At 42.7% G+C, this 19,986-nt stretch overlaps 2 pseudogenes; both read right to left on the bottom strand.

The window, feature by feature from the left end:
- On the bottom strand, nt 801-10,250 carry NF1P4 (neurofibromin 1 pseudogene 4; annotated as a pseudogene).
- Nucleotides 12,842-17,214, bottom strand: MED15P1 (mediator complex subunit 15 pseudogene 1; annotated as a pseudogene).

Genomic DNA, 19,986 nt, shown 5'->3' with positions numbered 1-19,986 from the left:
GATTAAGTCTATAGCTAATGATTGGCAGAACTAAGTCTAAACATGATCCTTGAGATTCCAAAATCAGTGGTCTCTATACGTATCATGTTGTCTCTAAGGCTCAATTACCATGAATGTATGTTATGGTAAATGGGACCAAATAATGTCACAGAAGAGTTTTCAAAAGGAAGGTAAAATGAGGCAAGAAAAAAAGACAATGATAGGGAAGGCAATGCAAGCATCATATCTATTATTAAGGAAGAGCTCACAACATTTCCAGAAAGGCTTTCTAGGAACCAGCCTCGACTGAGGGCAGCACGAACAAGCACCATTTTCCAGGCCACCCCTTGCACCATCTTCATGATTTCCCACCACCCCTTTGAATTATTTGCTAAATCACCCTGATGCTGTCTTACATAGCATATTTTTAAAAGTTCTCAGAAACAGGCTCTTACAGTTTTATTTCTTCTTTTAAAAAAAGTTCCCGCTTATCATGTTGTACTATTTAATCAGAATATACTTGAAAACAAAAGATGCTTTGTGGTTTTTTAACTCTTGGTAATTAATCCATTGTAGGCAGTATTTTAAAAAATGATGTAGGACAGGGAAACCAATATGAAATGGGTAGTCTGAAAAGCAGTTACTAGATACTGACCACCATTTTAGGAAAGGCAGGCTATTTAACCCACTGTATGCTCCCAGGTAAACTTGTCTTCAATTCTTGTTAAGTCAAATATGAAAAACCAAACTTGCCATCTCTATAATTGCTATCGTTTAAAAAATTCTGTTGAGAGGAGACACCAAACATAGTATTTCTTACCCCGTGCAGCATAATAAAAAATAGGATTCCCAGCTTTGGAAGCCCCAGCTTGGTAGAAAATACTTAACGTTTTCAAAGCCTTGATCTCTTCTTTTTCAGGTACCTGATGCCTAAAAGAAAAAGAACAGAGTACCTCTGAGGCTTTATGTTGTCTACTGAGTATGTAAAATAGTCTATAATTGGATAAACAATAAAATACTAAAATAAAAAAATATTTTAAAAGCAACAGGCATTCTAAAGGGTAATCTGACAACATGCACCAAAAATTTCAAGGTATTGCTCTTTGAGCCACAAAAGCACTTTTAGGACTATTCTAAGAGAACTATTGGACGAGGATATTAACCATAGGATTGTTTTTACTCATGACATTTTTGTCCCAGACAGAAGTTTATGATTTTTGAATGAATTCATTTTATCAATCTTTTCCTTTCTAGCTTATGGATTTTGAATGGATGAAAAAGGCCTTGCTTTGCCATGCTGTTTTGATTGATGGGAGTTTATCCTCATAAATGGTATGAAGATATTTTTCCAGATCATTACTCAGTTTTATCAATACCATTTATTGAAAGTCCAACCTAATCTCCTGGATTTCAAATACTCAACATGTACAAATTTTTCTTTGTTTTTATTCCTTAAACAATATGGTATAACAACTATTTATATAACATTTATATTGTATTAGATATTATAAGTAATCTAAAAATATTTAAAATATATGGGAGGATGTGCACAGTTTATATGCAAATACTATGACATTTTGTATCAGGGACTTGAGTCTGTGGATTTTAGTGTTCATGGGAGTGAGATGTGGGCAGGAGTTTGGGGGGTGGTTCCTGGAACCAATCCCTGACAGATACTGAGAGACGACCGTATTATAAAGCTAGGCTTTGTCAAAGAAACATATGTAAATGCTTATTATACAGTCCATAGTGTTTAATCACTTTCTGATATGTGTCAATAAGTATTTATCATTAAAGTAGACTTAATTACTTCCTTTTTTGGTCTATCTCTGGTGTTTGAATCAGGAAATCAATTGTTTCTTAGACTCAACACAATGAGTTTCTCAAATAATACCTTTATCTATCTCATCATAACATAAATGCAATCTGAGGCTTTATGTATCTTATTTCCCAATAACTGTAGACTATTCTTCATAAACTGACAACAATAACTTCCCAAACATACCGCTCTCGCATATTTATTTTTCCTGAAAGTCTATCGGTCAAGAAAAAGTAGTAATAAAGATTAGTGTCTTTACATATTTTGAACACAAAAGTTTTACATCTAAAAAGTTTAAATACACATAAAATACAAGTATAAAGCTGTAATGAAGTAGTTATAATTCTCACAGTAAAACCCACTAATATTTGAAAGTCATTTTTTTTACCTTGTAAGACATTTTACATCATCATCTGCTGCTTGGTTTGATGTTCCCATAACCCAGTCTGTCAGGTATTCTACCATCTTATTCCTATAGAATGGTGGAGAAAAGAGAAACAGCAAACAATTTTTCTGAAGTCATACCCCCCCACACACACACCTTCAGTCATGTAAGATTACTTATGGTGCAAATAATTTGGCAGATAACCCAGGTGACATGACGACTTTATAAAAGAGATACTGCTATCATAGATGTAAAAGCCAGAAGGAACAAGCAACGTGGATACTGATCCTCCATCATGGCCTTTAGTTATGCTATCAGATTGGAAACAGGATCAAATTCTTAGCTCAAGTACAGCAGAGTTTTAGAAAAAGGGAGGCTTGCCACAGGCACAAAGCTTAGGGAAATTTGAGGAGAGACACAGAGAAAAACAAACATGTAAACTGCTCTCTTTTTATGTCTTCCTTCCTACCAATAACCAGATATCTACTCCATTTCTGTACTTCATTCAACAAATTAAGATTTACAAGACCCTACATTGCTCTTTTGAGAACTCACCTAAATTTCATCTCTCGGCAAAATGACAGGTCATCTCTCCTTGCCATCGTTACTTCAACCAACTGACACAGTTTCGTTTTTATTTGAATTGCATGGACCATATTCCCAAGCACACAAACGTACCTATACAGACATAGAGACAATAAAAAAATTATCAGATACAGACACAAGATAAGGCATTCAAAATACTTTAACCATCAAATAAAACGAACTAATCGTAAGTTTGAAAACAGTAAGACATTTATTTATAGGAGAGCATACACAATTTCTGGTTACCTTGTTGTCACAGCCTAGTTTGTGTGCAGTAAAGAATGGCAAATTATTTTATCAATTACTATCAATATCAATGTGTAAGAGGTTTTTCTTGTCTCTTAAATCTTAAAGTATGTTTCTGCTACATTTCAGTAGAAGGCTTACCTGACCAGATTTAACATCATTGTTTCAATGCTAGCTTGCTCTAGATGTTCAGAGCTGCCTTCAGTATGATTATCTAGCAAGTTCTTCATTATATCTACAAATTGAGTATTGGTATCAGTCAATAAAACCTATAGAGAGAACAAATATATTAATGATTTGCCATCAATGCCCAGAAGACAGATCCCTAGAGAGATGAAACTGACTGATCTAAACACACAAATAGAGACATGCACCCACAGGCACGCAGCCAAACAGGCACACAGATATACACAGACACTCATACCCATATACAAGGCACGTATACCCTCAGGCACACATACACATCAGAGTTCCTAGAAGCAAGCTGACCATTCATTGAGATGATTCTTCTTTCTACAATTTTTTGACAATTTTTAAAAACTGTGAGTACCTAATTTAAATAATCTGAAAGAAAAAGGCTTCATTATTTCAAACAAGTCACTCTATTCATAGGGAAAGGTGAAAAATAAAAAAGAGCACACTTTGCCTGTCCTTAGGAGTCAAAAAACTTGCTGATGGGTCTTCTTCAATTTGTTAAATAGCATCAGATAAAGAGCAGGACTCAATTCTAGACCCACCAGGTCCTTATCATTGGTCCGTATTTGAAGTCCCACTTTCTCAACGTTACACACCATTAACGACAACAGCTGATCCATATATTTGCTGACAGGTGTATCTGCGTTTCCCTCTGAGGACATCACTGAAATCATGGAACCCTTATGTTCACTGACCGGACCCACGGGTGGGCTATAGGTTGCCAGGCCAGAATTCCTTCTCTGCTGGAGGCACACTCCCCCAAGGGCACAAAGGAAGCCAGTCATGTTGATCCATGCCTGTAGGGAGTCTGTGTCAGACAAATCTATGGGTCCTCCTCCACTCACATGGGACATTCGCCTCTTAACAATGGTCTTGTGAAGCTTTCAACAGCCTAAACACAAAATTTTTGTGCAAAGCATGAATTAAACCTAAATTAGTTGAGACTTGACAAATTACTCTTTATCCAACATTTCTTCCGTGACAAACGTACACAAAAATGTAAAAAAATACATTAAAATCAACCCCCTAAATTACCATATACATTTTTAAAGAGCCACTGATTTATTTTTGTCATATACTAATATAATTGCCCAAGTATCAAATTTCTTTTAAAAAGCTTTGATTTCACACGGATGAACCTTGGGAACATTATGCTAAGTGAAAGAAGCTAATCGTAAAAGCCCACATATTCTAAAACTCCATTTACAGAAAATATCCAGAATAGGCAAATCTACAGAGACAAAGTAGATTCGTGGTTGCCCAGGGTTGGAGAGGCGGGGGGCAGAGAGACAAGAAAGTTGGGGGGTTGTTAGAGGCAGAGATAGCTAAAGGATACAGGGTTTTCTCAATTGATGAAATTGTCCTGAAACTGATCGTGGTGATGGTTGCACAACTCTGTGAACATGCTAACAAGTCACTGAATTGGACACTTTAAATGCGTGAATTGTATGGTATGTAATTACATATTATAGTAACAGTTACCCCCAAAAGCTTTCATTCTAAAGCTACATGTCCCCTCCAAATAAAGGTATGAGGTACACAATTTTGCTTCACAAAACTATAACTTTTTTCTTATTATAATTAAGCATGACAGAAAAATAACATGGGGGAAGAGCCAGTTTTTATAAACCACCTAATAATGAGAGCAATGTGAACATTATAAATCATATACACACAAACACCAACTCATCAATTTCCAAAGTAATGGATAATATAGTCAATAGTAATAGTTGAAGGAACTGTCCATGTTTTAAAATTTCATTTTATCTATGGGTTCCATCTTCTGCCCAAGACATTCTTTAATTAGAATACCTAACAAAATAGCAAAATGAATGGTTTCCATGTTAATTTTTCTCTACCTCTGTTGCTCCTTTTCTGAAAATTCTGTGAAACACCCTGATGAAGGGAGAAAGAGCAAGAAAAGATAAAGAAATGGTCTTTGCAACAAACAGTCTCTAGCAGTGCTGCCCAGTATTTCTGTGATGATGGCAACATTTTCTCTCTGCTGTCCAACAGAGTAAGTACCTGTCATATGTGGCTACTGGGTACCTGCAATGTGGCTACTATATGATTGAGGAACTAAACTGTATTTAATTTTAATTATGTTAAAATTTAAGTTAAATAGTCACACGTAGCTAGTGGCTATCATATTACAAACTACAGGTCTAGATAAACCACAACTAAATATCAGTCTTCAGACAACTATATGCTTACTTTACTGAGTGACTCGTGAAAGATTACCAAAGAGAAGGACATATATTTAGCAGATCAGTTAATAGACAAAAGTCAACTTTACAGACTTACCTGGCCATCTTCCATTTGGGCTTTTGGATAGCTAAGGATTAGTTTTGTTGCTTGTTCCCATTTTGCATGTGTATCTTCCCAAGTCTAAAATGAAGACAGTTATCACTTGAAAGCAACTTTAAGTCTAGAGCTAAACATCAATCAGCAACAGCCAAGCTTCAAACTTGATATATATTAAGTACTCAGATATTATACTTGTAATATGCACATATCTTGGATTTACTTCAAAAGCTATTCCTCATCACACATATGTAACAAGAGGCTTCCAAAACTGAGGGTGGGCGCCTGGGAGGGGTGTTTCTCTTGCTAAGAGCACACCTCAGTGTTTCCTGCAGTGGGATGCTCAGTGCGCCTCAGCAGTGCCATCACTCTTTCTGAAGTGCTGCTGTGCCTAAGCAACTACAACAGCAAATCAAGTTACTGCACTTAGAGCCCTGCCTGCCAATGGAGAACCTGATAAGCCCCACCCAAAAGGCAGAGTAGGAGGAGCAGAGCAAATGCCTCAAATGATAAAGCCAAAAACTTCCGTTCACTAACCTCACAGGAAAGGTACTTATCTTAGACTCTACAATGTCCACAGCATAAAATAGCTATTCCCACCTATAATTTACTCAAAACATATGCCAATGTGTGTAAACTTCACTATCCATAACATACGGAGTTATGGATAACATAAATTACATAGTCATATGTAATTTGACTATGTATATGGATAACATAAATTACATAGTCATACAAACGTAAATTACATAGTCATAACTGATAGTAACACGTACTGCCAGTTAATTTTAAAATCTATAGCATATTAAAAACTCAGTGGGAGACTAACAATTTATTTCAAACGCTTTTTATTTTCATCTTACTTTGTTCAGAAAAGGATTTCAAGTAAGCTACTTGAATTTCTCCTGTAAACTTACAGAAGTGTAATCTTAAATACATTCTCACAATCAGATGCCATGTGCTTTAGGGAGGTTGAGTAAAAAAACCACTATTCATATTTACCTGTTGACATCACATTGCTGACAGGCAAACTCCATGAATGTGTTAGAGTTGGGCAAGAGGTTACGCAATGACACTTCGTCCACCCCACACCGGGTATCTGCTTCCTCACAGAGGTGGCGGAAACAGGACATGGCAACCAGAACAGCTTCAGTGTCAGGGTTCCGCAGAAACATGTACAGGGCCACTTCTAGTTTGGTCTGCGCTTGTCAGCAAGTCAGGGGGGTTCCGCTGCATCCTGCTGCACTATCCTGAGAGTCAAGGGTGGTAGACATATATTTGCAACTTGGGTAATTTTATGTATAAAACCCAACAATGCAATAAACTGCGTGTGTGTGTGTGTGTGTGTGTGTGTGTGTGTGTCCACATATATCTCAGCATACAATAACTCATAAGAGCTTTCTCCTTTAATCATTATATGAATTTTTCAAACCCCAAATTATCTTGTCCAAATGAGAAATGAGATTATCTGGACCAATATAAAGCTACTATCTGTCCAATTTCAAATAAAATAGGTATTATCCTATTCCAGATTCCAGAAATGGAAACCGATTCTAACACGGACAGGTAAAACACCATAACATAAATCTACTGCAGTAACTATATAATGTACTTCCCAGTCAATTACAAATGACAAAAACAGAGGAAGTAACAGGAAATTCTATCTACTTGCTCTAGGGAAGTAATAAAATAAGTACACTGCGGCACTCATTGAAACAAGGGCATAAACAAGAACAAAATATTGCTGTAGAAGATAGACTTGATTCTGAATGACCTATTCCGCAAACATGAAATGGAGAAAATAATTGACAAAATACATTCAAATTCTGCAAGTAAAACAGACAATAATAAATAGCATACTGCTTAGATGTTTTTTTCTTTAACAAGGCTATATTAAAAATTAGGGATGAAAAAAGTTTTGGTTTGGAAAATAAACTCTTCTGTAATGACCCGATATTTTCACTTGAAATATGATTTATATTTAAAGGAAATTATACACGCAAATGCAAATCACAGAAACACTTATCTTTAACATGAAACAAAATATTTTGTTTTTATCCCTGTACATCTGTACCTTTGTTAGCTGGTACAAATTCTATACTTCTATGCTATGAATGGTTTTTCATGAGGTGGAGGTTATCAGATACAGCTTGTATGTGTCAAGTGCTATTTACACATTTTTTTATTTAACCCTCACAACAACTCTGGAGCAGGAATTATTATTGTCCCCATTTTAAAGTTGAGGAATTGAGGAACAAGGATGTTAAGAACTTGCCCAAAGTTCCATAAAGAGCAGTGATAGAACTAGAGTCTAAGCAGTTTTTCACTATTACTCTATATTACCTGGATGAAATTTACCAAAGTTCATTCAGAAAACAAATAGAGCACACGAGATGATACAGGAAAATTACAAAAGAAGCTGACCATAGAGGAGTTCCCTTTTCCCTTCTGGAGAGAGGCTCAGGAGTACGTAGTGACACTTCATGACCCATGGACATTTGATTGGTATTTCCACTAGAAGGAGTATCACATCCTACTCCATAAAAAAGGAGAAAGTGACATGAACTTCTATCTGCCTGCTAGAAAAAAGAAGGAAAGAAGCTTTACTGACACACTGACAACCAAGAGGAATAAACACTTATATCGGTTGTCTTCCTGTTTGAGACTCTCCTAGAAAACCTCTCCTCTCAATCTCTACACCCCACCTTGAAGGAAATTCACTAGAAACCCATTAGAACAAATAATGTTCACTTAATGTCTTTAAAATTTCTTTCAGTTTCCCATTCTCTAAATAATCAGAAACAGTAGATTCTACAAATATAAATTAAGTCTAACATAAACATAAGTAAAACATCAACAATGTATATCCACTGTATGAAAACTATAATTTGGTCTCAATGACAAAGATTTTTTTTCTGCAAGATTTTATCCGTGCCATGTTGGGATAACTAGAAATTGACTCTTGAGATTAAGTTCTTCTGGACCAGTAATTAACACTGGTATATACACCAACTATATCACAAGAGTGACTGTGCTGACCAGGGCACTACGAATTCATTACTGGATTCCTCATACTCATATTCTGGAGATTATGCCATAGGCAAGGGCACGAAAGTCTGAAGTCTAATCTCTTTCCATATCTTTGGAATAATGCCAAATTCTGCTACATTAACACATCAAATAAGCCAGATGTGAATAAACCCACTTCACCATTAGTCTATTTCTAAACAGAGACAATTTATTAATAACAAGCTGTATAATACTGAAAAGGATATGAGTTTCATACATTTAAGGTTTTTCACAGCTATGCTTCTAGTTCCAGATAAAAATTCATTAAATCAAGTACTCCTAAAACTAGGCCATAATAGAATTCCTAAATTGATTAACTATAGAAACTATATGTTAGAAGAAATGTAAGACTCTTCTCTATCTGCCACAACCTCACCATGTTTCAATAGTGCAGAATCAAAAAATTTCACTCCACCCCGAGAAGTGTCGTGAAATTTTCAAGATGTGAAACCCTTATTGGAGGAATAGAAATAAACCTAGATTGAGGACCCTCAACCTTTTCCCTTTTGCTTCTTGATAGATAATTCTCTGGACTAGTCTAGCCACGACATCTAGGCCTTTATGATTTCTCAGAGCTATGATTCTAGAACTGGACAAAAAACTCATTAAATCAAGTACTCCCAAATCTATGCCATAATAGAATTCTTAGATTAATTACAGAAGCTATATGTTAAATTTTACGTATGAATTATGTCTATGTGTGAACTTGAGAGTAAAGATAGAATATGCTCCTCAAGCTACTTTGGTTATAGCAGCCCCCACTTTTCCTAGCCTGTCCCATAGAGACCTATGTAACTCAACTAGAACTAGAATTCATCAACAGTGTGGTTTTACGGCCAAAGCTTCAGAATAATTTTAAAATGCTAATTTGCCAGCCCTTGTCCTCTGCACATATATATCCTTTTGAGAACCTTGGGGGGAAGGAGGAGCTGAAATAGAAACTAATTTGGCTATAAAACACTTTCTTAATCTCTCCCCATCACCATTCCAAATATTCTCTCATTTTTTAAAGATGTCATTTCGTTTACCTTATTTTTAAGAAAGAAATTTATTCCTGCAGATCAAAATTTCCTGCAACCACTTGAGAATTTCTGTGCTACTAAGCATTTAATGACTAGTTAATTTCTTGCAGATGTAAAAATACACTTGTGAGCTGCAGTAACATAAAATTTATTGTTACTACCATCAACAATAACCTAATGCAGATATAACCAGACATAAGAATGGCATTCTCCCATAATGAATACAAGTTTGGAGAAGCTTAGTTATGTTAAGCATGTCAGTTGAATGATACGGAAATTAAGAAGAAAGAGAAATGTTAAGAAATGGTAAGGGCAATTAAGAATCTGATCTAATTATATCAGTATTCATTATACATTAGGTTTCTTAGAGACGTCTTAGTTTTCAGTTATGATCAGAAAGGATCAGTAAGTGCTCTTGAGCTAAAAATTACCCTCAAGGTCTTGGCGTTTCAGTTAAACCAAATGAACTTAGTGTGGTAATTTTGACACATTTCATAAAAAAACACTTACACAAAGCAAGAGCTCTGGATCTGCATGAATTAGTTTCACCATGGACAAGAGAAGATACTTACAGCTTCTTGTCTCCAGGCCTGTAGGTTTTTCTTTAAATTTAAGGCTTGTTACTTTTTCTTTAAATATAAGACTCTAAAAACAAAACAAAAACATGGTATCAGACATAAGACTCAGGATAATAGCTATCCAACCTTTTAAAAGAAATTTATTATGAGAAAACTTTGAAAAAAGCTATTTTTATACTACCAAATGTGTGGTATAAGTAGAAACACTCAGTAGTAAGCATAAGGTCAGTATTATTAAGCTTACAAAATGGAAATTGTTTTTGCACCATTTATATTATTTTTTAATCAATCTAATGAAACAATGAAAATCTACTACAATACTCAAAGCTTAATATCAGGTTGTAAAAAGCCTCCTATTTAAAAAACTATTTTCCAAAATGTAAAAACATAAGGGAAAAAATATTTGGTCTATAGTTCTCACAAATCTCCACACTGGGTAACTCATTAACAAACACTCCCCACACATATACGCAAGTATTTCACAGACTCTACAGTATTGTCCGTTTTAAGATGCAGCATTATTTGATGTCCCAAAAGGAATGAAAACACACTGTCAATTGTAAGACACCATCTAAAATAAGATACACTCCCAATTTCAGAGAAGAGTAAAAATAAGTGCTTCTTAGAATTAATGAAATATGTTATCTAGACAATCTCTGTATTTACTAGTTTAATTGTAAAATTTGCTTTTTCCTTCGATGGCACTCCATCTCTTTTGAGGTACAGAATGCACGCATTTTGCCTGAAGAACATTCATAAAACAGAAAGAATTCAGAGAAAGGTAAACTTATGGAAAATATGTTTCCATTACAGAGACATAGGATGAATTAAAATAATCATAGATGTTTTTCAACCAAAAATCCAATAATTATATTCTAGATCTAATATCACCTATTATTATAACATATTTCCTTCCTTTTCTTCTTTAAAAGAACACAAAACTATCTGATTTTGACATGAATGCCTTTATGTAAACATATATATAACATAGAAATAGTAGACTGTATACCAACTGTGGACCCATAATACAAATGTCCAAGTAAACGGGCTGTCTTTCAAAGTTAAAAAGCAGACATGCATATCTACAACACAAATGAACCATCTTCTGTGATTAAGTGAAACATGCATTTGTTATTATACCCAAGAACACTGAAGGGCTGTAGTCCTCAGAAGGGAAGAATAGCTATTTAAATGCACACATTTATATTCAAGAATGTCACTACAGAAGAGAGATGGCAAAACTTACAAATAGTTTGGTTTTATATTTATAACTGCCCCTTAACGCCTAGGCAAATGTTTTATTAAATGATGTAATAAATTCTGGTTTTACTGTTTGCTCTCTTTCAACTGTATTTTTTCCTCACTCTAAGTTGAGGTGTTTCACCTTAGATCAAGCTGAAACTTTGATTAAACAAATGTATTTACTTTGATGTAACTAAGTGTAACTATCTAACGACTCTTCTCTAATGCAGCCATTGCACAGGAAGATAAGATCAGAGAACAAGTAGTAGATATCAGAATTTTTCCTTATTTAAGAATAATTTCCAAAAAAAGTAAATAGTCTTATGCCACATAACAACATTTCAGACAATGACAGACAATATGTAACACAGCTGAAAAATTCCTATCACCTAGTGACATAACCATCATGATGTCCAAGCACAATGCATTACTTTTTGTTTGCAGCGATGCTGGTGTAAACAAACTTTCACTTCTATTCATATAAAAAGAGTATAGCACATTCAATTATGTATAGTATACAATACCTGATAATGAGAATAAATAACTGTTACTGGTTTATGTATTTACTATAATATACTTTTTTTTTGAGATGGAGTCTCACTTTGTTGTCCAGGCTGGAGTGCAGTGGTGTGATCTCAGCTCACTGCAACCTCCGCCTCCCGGGTTCAAGCAATTCTCCTGCCTCAGCCTCCAGAGTAGCTGGGACTACAGCTGCAAGCCACCACACCTGACTTATTTTTTTGTATTTTTAGTAGAGAAGGCCTTTTGCCATGTTGGCCAGGCTGGTCTCAACTCCTGACCTCAGGTGGTGATCCATTGCCTGGGCCTCCCAAAGTGCTGAGACTACAGGCGTGAGCCACCAGGCCCAGCCTACTATGGTATACTTTTTATTGTTATTTTAGAGTATACTCCTACTTAAAGATAAAAAATTAACTATGAAACACAGCCTCAGAAGGTCCTTTAGGAGGTACTCCAGAAAAAGGCATTGTTACTACAAGAGATGACAGCTGGATCCACACGTTATTTCCTCTAAAAACCTTCCAATGGGAGCAGATGTGGAGGTGGAAGACAGTAACACTGATGATCTTGACCCAGTGTAGGCCTAGGCTAATGTATATGTTTGCGTCACAGCTTTTAACAGAGTTTTCAAGAAAATTAAAATAGAACGTTTTTCAAATAAAAAAACTTACAGGCTATAAAGAAAAATATTTTTATACAGCTAGCTGTACAATGTATTTTAAGCTGTTATTGCAAGTCAAAAAGTTAAAAAATTTAAAAGTTTATAAATTTTAAAAGCTACAGAAAAGTTAATTATCAAAGAAAAAATATTTTTTAATAAATTTGGTGTAGCTTAAGGGTACAGTGTTATAAAGTCTACAGGATAGATCCTGAGTATGAGAAAAAAAACAAGTATTGAAAGAGGCATCCTGTGCCCTGGACTCAGGGGCTTCCCTAGGGGGTGCCCCACTTGCCCAAAGCAGTGCAGCCTGAACCCAAAACTGTGAGCAGAGAGTCCCATGTGTGTTTGAAGGGTTTCCTATGTCCTCTGTGTTCTCCTATAGAAAGCAGCAGGGGTGTGTCGAGCACACACAAGACACGCTAACAACAACCTGAGCACAACCTCATGCTGCTGAGATGCACCCGGACCCTGGACAGGCCGTGGTGAGAGCAGCCCGAGGATCGTGGCTGGGGACTGTGTCTGGCTTCATGGAGGAAGTCACATGGAGTGCCTTCTCCAAGAAGACAGCCAACTCCCTGCAGGCAGCACACTCCACTGCGCACCTATCAGTCTGTACAAGTGTGGGATTTCATTTGGCAGATCCCCAAGGCAGGAGAGAAAAGGAGGAAAGCTAACCTAACTCCAGGCTCTCCATGGACACCAACATCTAGAAGTGTCTGACAGGAGGCATGCATCCTTGGCCCCGATGAGGCTGCGGGCCATCCCTGCAGTCCTGGCTAGGCAGCCGAGAGGCAGGCCTTGTGGATGCTCTGGGCACAGGTGCTGAGCAAGGTGGTAACCTAGTGCTTGTCCGGGAGCTGCAGCCGCCTGGAGGTCACGCGGTGGTGCATCGACCTGAGGAAGGGGTTGGTGCCTGCAACCGAACAGTGGGCATGAGCCTGAGGCAGCTGGCGCTGCACCCACGCCCTGCACACCCGGCAGTGCTCTGGGAAGTGGCAGCCCCAGGACTGGCTGAAGCACCAGGAGGATCCCTGCACGCTGCCTGCCTGGCCATCAGGCTCTCCTCCCGGAGCCTCATCATCAGTGAAGAACTGAATCTGAACGGGATTTGGAGCTCAAGGCTTTGCCTCTGACAACCTTGGGGACCCAGCCCTGGCTCTGCTATGTGCCAGCTCTGGGCTCAGGGAGACTGACTCCTGTCAACATGACTCTCTTTGGAGCCACATCACCCAGATGGGGTCTTGTGTGCCCAAGCTACTGGTAGGACCTGTCAGCTCCACTGAGCTCCCTAGTGGCCTCTGGGAAAAGTGGGGTCTGTCCTTGAGCCGTAGGGTTTCTCACCCCTCAGCCACTGAACACAGCCACCCTGGAAAGCTGACCGGACACAAGATGAAGGGGCAAAGGGACACAGAAGAGCAGAGACTCCTATCTCTCAGGTTACCACTGGAACCTGAGAGATTCCACACAGGAGGAGCCAGAAGAGGGGAGGAAGGGGCCTGAGCCGGGGAGGGGCACAGAGGCTGTCCCTGCAGCACTAGAAGCTTGGTTTTCCAGAATGACCCCTGCCTGCCCTGGGCCCCCAGACAGCTCCTCTGGGTCTGCCCACTGTACAGCCACTGCCAGTCCATCCACAGTGGACTCTGGGCAGGGTAGTGGGTGGGCACATGGTGGCACACTTGGGAGGTCCTTGTCGTTTGCAACACACAAGGCTGTACCTGTGACCCGGACGAGCCCTGGCCTGCCCCGCCTCACAGCCCTGCTCCCGAACAGGACTCTTCACACCCCGGGAGGTTCTGGTGAGGCTTGCGGCAAAGCCTGGATGTCTCTCTGACTCTCAGATTTCCAAACCTGAAGCCCAGAGTGCCCTGCGTCAATGGGTGCCCAGAGGTCCTGCCTGTCACCTCCCTAGGGCCCCAGGCAAGCAGAGCCGTATCTGTGTTGGGGAGGTGAGGGTGCGTGGGGGCAGAGGCATGGCCAGTCTGTCCTGGGCTCCGTGTATGTGAAGACAAAGCAGACAGCCTGCTGGGGTGTGAACACAGGGTGGGGTCTGGGCACGGTGCCCTCCGGCTCGGATGGCAGAGACCTGGTGCTGTGGACAAGGCTTGCGAACTTGTGCCGGCCTGGCCCTCCTGGACGCTCGCCCAGCTTGCAGACCAGGTGGACGGTGCCATTGTTGCTGCAGCGAGAAGAGTCCAGGTTTATCATGCACTTGGGGTCCAGCCTGGCCACCTCGCCCTGGAGCATGCTGGGGATGCTCTGCCGCTCATCGTCCTCAAGCCTGTGCTTCCGGGTGCACACCACTGTGGACGTGAGGAGGCAGCATGGTGACCACAGTGGGCACACATGGTCCAGGGCTGGCCATCCGCCCTCTGCAAAGCCCAGCCCAGCTGGATGTATGTGATGAGTGGGCCGTGGATGGCAGTCATGGCTGGAGCGAATGTGCGGTACAGGGAATGGCTGAAGAGGGTGAGCGGATATTGGCCAGGACAGCATCCAGGAGCTGCTGGCATAGGTACTGCTGTTTGGTCAGCGGCACCAGGGGCAGCGGGCTGGCGGTAGGATGCGCACGGTCAGAAGCCCGGGACCTGAGGGTTCTCCATTTAGGGGGCCTTCCCACCTCTGGCCAGTCCTCACTCACAGCCAGATTCCCAAGGCCTCTCTCTCAGCCTCCACCCTTGTGCAGACAATGTTGGCCGATCCTGGGTATAATCCCCACCCCCACAGCCTTGTCCTCCCCAGAGTCCCTGCTGTCTCTGGACCGGGTGGCAGAGGCACCCACGGGGGCCACAGACAGAGGGTGACTTCTCCCACGTTCCCGCCCAGCACAGCAAACCTGGCCTGGAAGAGGCCTGGTGGGCAGGGTCTCAGATCAGGCCCAGCCCCCACCCAGCCTGACCATGAAGGCCCCTCCAGTGGTGCCCCCAGGAGCTCTTGAGGGAGCCCCGATCCCCCAGGGGTCCCCAGCATCCCACTCACCACCGCCATGTCATTCTTGAGTTTCTCCAGGGCGATCTCACACTTTGGCAAGGTCTTCAGGGGACCTGCAGAGAGAGGGGACTTGGGCTGAGCTCTGTGCTGGAGGGCTGGGAGACATGGCAGGTCTCAGGCTGGGATCTGGGATCCCAACCACTGCCACTGGGCCTCGGCCCTCAGAAACCTCTGCAGGAGCTCCCTTCAGCTGACCAGCTGTTCCCAGACCCAGAGTCTAGGCAGGTGGCCCTCACCCCTAGGAGCTGCCCATCCCTGTTGGCAGTGAGGCAGTGGGTCAAGAGAAGGGACAGTGGCCGGGACCCTGACCAGGCTGGAAAGGCCTCAGTTGCACCTAGGCCAGTCCCTGTCCTGCTCAGTCCTATAACCCTAATGAAGAATCAACTCAAGAAGGCCTGGAGGACCACCCAATAGTGACTGGCATTCTATCCAGACAAGCAAAACAGAGAGACACTTCTAGACGGGGGTGGGGGGACACCCTGAGTTTAGGTGACAGGGAAGTATAGGCCAACGCCCATGCGGTTCTGAGGTGCTGCCCGAGCTCACAGCAGCCCGTGGCCGGTGGCCCTGCCTTCCACCTGCTTCTCACCAGCACCGTCTTGTTTCATTTTCATGACAGCACACATGGGTTGCAAATGGGGTAACTGAGATGCAGTCCCCTGTCCATGGTCACCGGGAAGTCAGGGGCAGAACTCCAGGTCATGCTCAGGCCCATCACGGCCAGCTGATGTTCAGGTCACTGCAAGCTGGGCCCCCAACTACTGGCTGGATGAGACCTGGCTGTGATGGGCCAGCATGAGGGCCGCAGCAGTGGTCAGGAGTAGGGCAAAGGCTGGGCACCGGCCAAGATGAAGCCTGGGCTCGAAGCCCCAGCACACACCAGAGTGGAGACTTGGAGGCCTCTGTCCAGGGCCCAAAGAGCTGCCTGGGGCCTTTGCTAACCCCACATCATCACCAAATGCCCATCCATGGCTGGACGACCCACGCCCTTGTGGACCCTACGTTGGCTGTGGGCAAAACTCACTGCTTGGAGAGGTCTGTCACAATGTCCAGAAGGCTCTTCATCTTGCTCAGGTCCTTTTTTCTGTCTGGGACAGCAGAGGGGACCATAAGACACGAGCCTGGTGGCATCCCCAGGGCACTGGCCCCCACCCCGGCCGCAGCCCACCTTCACTCTTGTCGATCTTGTTGACCACGCGGTGCAGGGGCTTGATGTGCTTGGACAGCTGCTTCAGCGTGTCCCAGTACAGCTGCTCCTGGCCCGGCTGGAGCCGGCTGGACTCATGACAGAGCTGGGGTCACTGCAGGACTATGGGCGGGTGAGGCCTCAGCCCTAGACCCTCAGGCTGGGAGCTTGGGCTCTGAGGGCCCCAGAGCACGCATGAATGGTATGACCTGAGGCCTTGTAAAGGTGAGGGGTGACCTAGCACCTCAACCTGCCGGGCCGTGTACAGCTCACATGATGGAGCTGTGGGTCCCAGGCCTGGCTTAGCAGGTGTGTGTAAAGGACTAGGGGAGGGGACACTGGAGTTCTGTGGGGTTTGTGCTGTTTCTGGGTGCTGGGAAGGCTGCAGTGTGGAGCTGGGCAGGAAGCTACGGGGGACAGAGCAGGGCTGGAGCTGCAGCCAAGCGGGAGAAACATGGGAGCTGGGCCCAGGCAAGGCAGCCACCAAACTCACTCTGCAACAAACCACAGTGGTGACCAATCCCCATCCTCCTTCCCATGCCAGCTGGGCGGGACCTCACCCGAAACAAGGGGTGGGAAAACTGGCAAGACCAGCACCCCGAGCACAGAGCCAAGAGCACACACAGCTGGCATCCTGCTTCTGGAAGGTGATGGGATGCCAGCGAGACTGCAGGGTGGACACTTCCTTCAGCTAGAAGTCTTACGAGCATACCAGCTGGGTCTGCACCAGCTGAAAACACCGGCTGTTCCATGGCTGCTCACTTTCCAAATACCAAGAAATGGAAAGAAAAGGGAAGTTTGGCCCGGCACAGTGGCTCATGCTTGTAATCCCAGCACTTTGGGAGGCCGAGGCAGGTGGATCAGTTGAGGTAAGAGTTAAAGACTAGCCTGGCCTGTCTCTACTAAAAATACAAAAGAAAAATTAGCTGGGCATAGTGGCACGTGCCTGTAGTCCCAGCTACTTGGGAGGCTAAGGCAGGAGAATCGTTTGAGCCTGGGAGGTGGAGGTTGCAGTGAGCTGAGATCACGCCACTGCACTGCAGCCTGGGCGACAGAACAAGACTCTGTGTCAAACAAAAAAAAAAAAAAAAAGAAAAGAAAAGGGAAGTTCTAGGCTGGGCTTGATAGCTCATGCCTATAATCCCAGCACTTTGGGAGGCCGAGGTGGGCAGATCTCTTGAGGCCAGGAGTTCGAGACGAGCCTGGCCAACATGGTGAAACCCTGTCTCTACTAAAAATACAAAAATTAGCCAGACATGGTGGCAGGTGCCTGTAATCCCAGCTCCCTGGGAGGCTGAGGCAGAATAATCCCTTGAACCCAGGAGGCAGTGGTTGCGATGAGCCGAGATCTCGCCACTGCACTCCAGCCTGGACAACAGAATGAGACTCTACATGAAAAAAAAAAAAAAAAAAAAGAAAGAAAGAAAAAAGAAAAAAGAAAAAAAGAAAGGAAAAGAGAATCTCATTTTCCTGCTGGGCTTGACCTGAGGTGTTTAGATGAAGTGAGGTCCTGGACAGGGGAGGGACGGTCCAAAGAGGCAAGAGCAGCAGCTTCCACTGGCTGGGCAGTCACTACGTCCCACCACCAGGCTGGCTCTCAACACACACTACGTCTTTCCTCTGCATGAAAGACCAGGACAAGGGAGCCCCCAGCAGGCCTGAGGACATGTGGAGACACACAGGGAAGTGTGGCACTTGGGTTCCAACCTTGTCACACAAGGTGGTCAGTCTCCCCCAGCTGTAAGTGAACATAACTTCTGTGGTGTGTTTCACACAAGACTCCATCTAAGAAAGAAGATGACTGCTGGGCACGGTGGCTCACACCTGTAATCCCAGCACTTTGTTAGGCTGAGGAGGGCAGATCACCTGAGGTCAGGAGTTCGAGACCAGCCTGGCAAACATGGTGAAACCCAGTCTCTACTATACTTTTACTGATAAAGCAGACAATGAACATAATGTATAGAAATCTTGAGCACAAATAGACATCAAAAGCACAAACAACAAAAGCAAAGATGTAATTACATTAAACTTGTCAAAAGTATAAGCAACAAAGGCAAAGATGTAATTACATTAAACTTAAAACCTTCTGCAAAGCAGAGGAAGCAATCAGTAGAATGAAGAAACAACCCAGAGAATGGAACAAAATATTTGCAAACTATGCATCAGCCAAGGGGTTAATACACAAAATATATAAAGAACTCAAACTACTCAAAAGCAAAAATACAAATAATCTGATTTTAAAAAATCTACCCAAAACCTTTGTCTCTCACCATTATTTCTCCACCTTCTTTTCCCGACCGCCTTTGGTCTCCTCCCCCTCGCCACCCATTTTCTTCCTCCATCTACCCCAAAACTTTTTCCCCACCATTTTTCCCCCACCGTCATTTCGCAAAGCCTTCTCTACTCTCCCGCTCACCAGCCTTTTCCCCATCTATCTACCCAAACACTCTCCCCACTGTTTTCTCCCACCGTCTTTTCCCCTTCTCCCTGGCCACCTTCTTTTTCCCCGTCCCACTCTCATCACCATCTTTTGCTCCTTCATCTAAGCAAAAATATTTTCCCCCCTCTTTTCCCAAAACCTTCTCCTCACTCCTGCCGCTCACCAACCTCTTTTCCCCCTTCATCTACCCAAAAACTGTTTTCCTCATCGTCTTTCCCCTGCTCCTCCTTGCCACCCTCTCCCTTCTCCATCTACCCAAAAACATTTCCCCATAGCCTTTTCGGAAAGCCTTCTCCCCACTCCTGCTCACCTCCTTCTTTTCCCCCTCCATCTATCCCTCAAAGTTCTCCCCACCGTCTTTTCAGTATTTCCCCCTTCCCACTCATCCTCTTTGCCCTATCCTGCTTTCCACTCTGTTTTGCCCTCCATCTACCCCAAACTATTTTTCCATTTTTTCCCCAACCCTCTTTCCCTGCTCCCTCTCGCCACCCTCTTTTCTCCTCCTCCTGGTCACCCTCTTTCCCCCGTGCATCTACCCAAACACATTTTACCCATCATCTTTTCTTCCCCGCCCCGTCTTTCTTTTCTGCCTGCTGTGTTTTTGCAAAACCCTGTCTTCCTCCCGCTGGCCACCCTTTTCCCTTCCCCCACTTGTTACCCTCTTTTCCCCCTCTATCTACCCAAAAACTTTTCTCCCCACTGTCTTTTCACAAAACCTTCTCTCCCTACTGCTTGCCCCCATTTCCCTCCCACCCTCTTTCCTCCTCC

The sequence above is a fragment of the Homo sapiens genome, chromosome 14 (assembly GCF_000001405.40).
Source record: "Homo sapiens chromosome 14, GRCh38.p14 Primary Assembly".
Taxonomy (NCBI): Eukaryota; Metazoa; Chordata; class Mammalia; order Primates; family Hominidae; genus Homo; species Homo sapiens.
The sequence above is the reverse complement of the archived record's forward strand: the minus strand, read 5'-3'. Positions and strand labels throughout refer to the sequence as shown.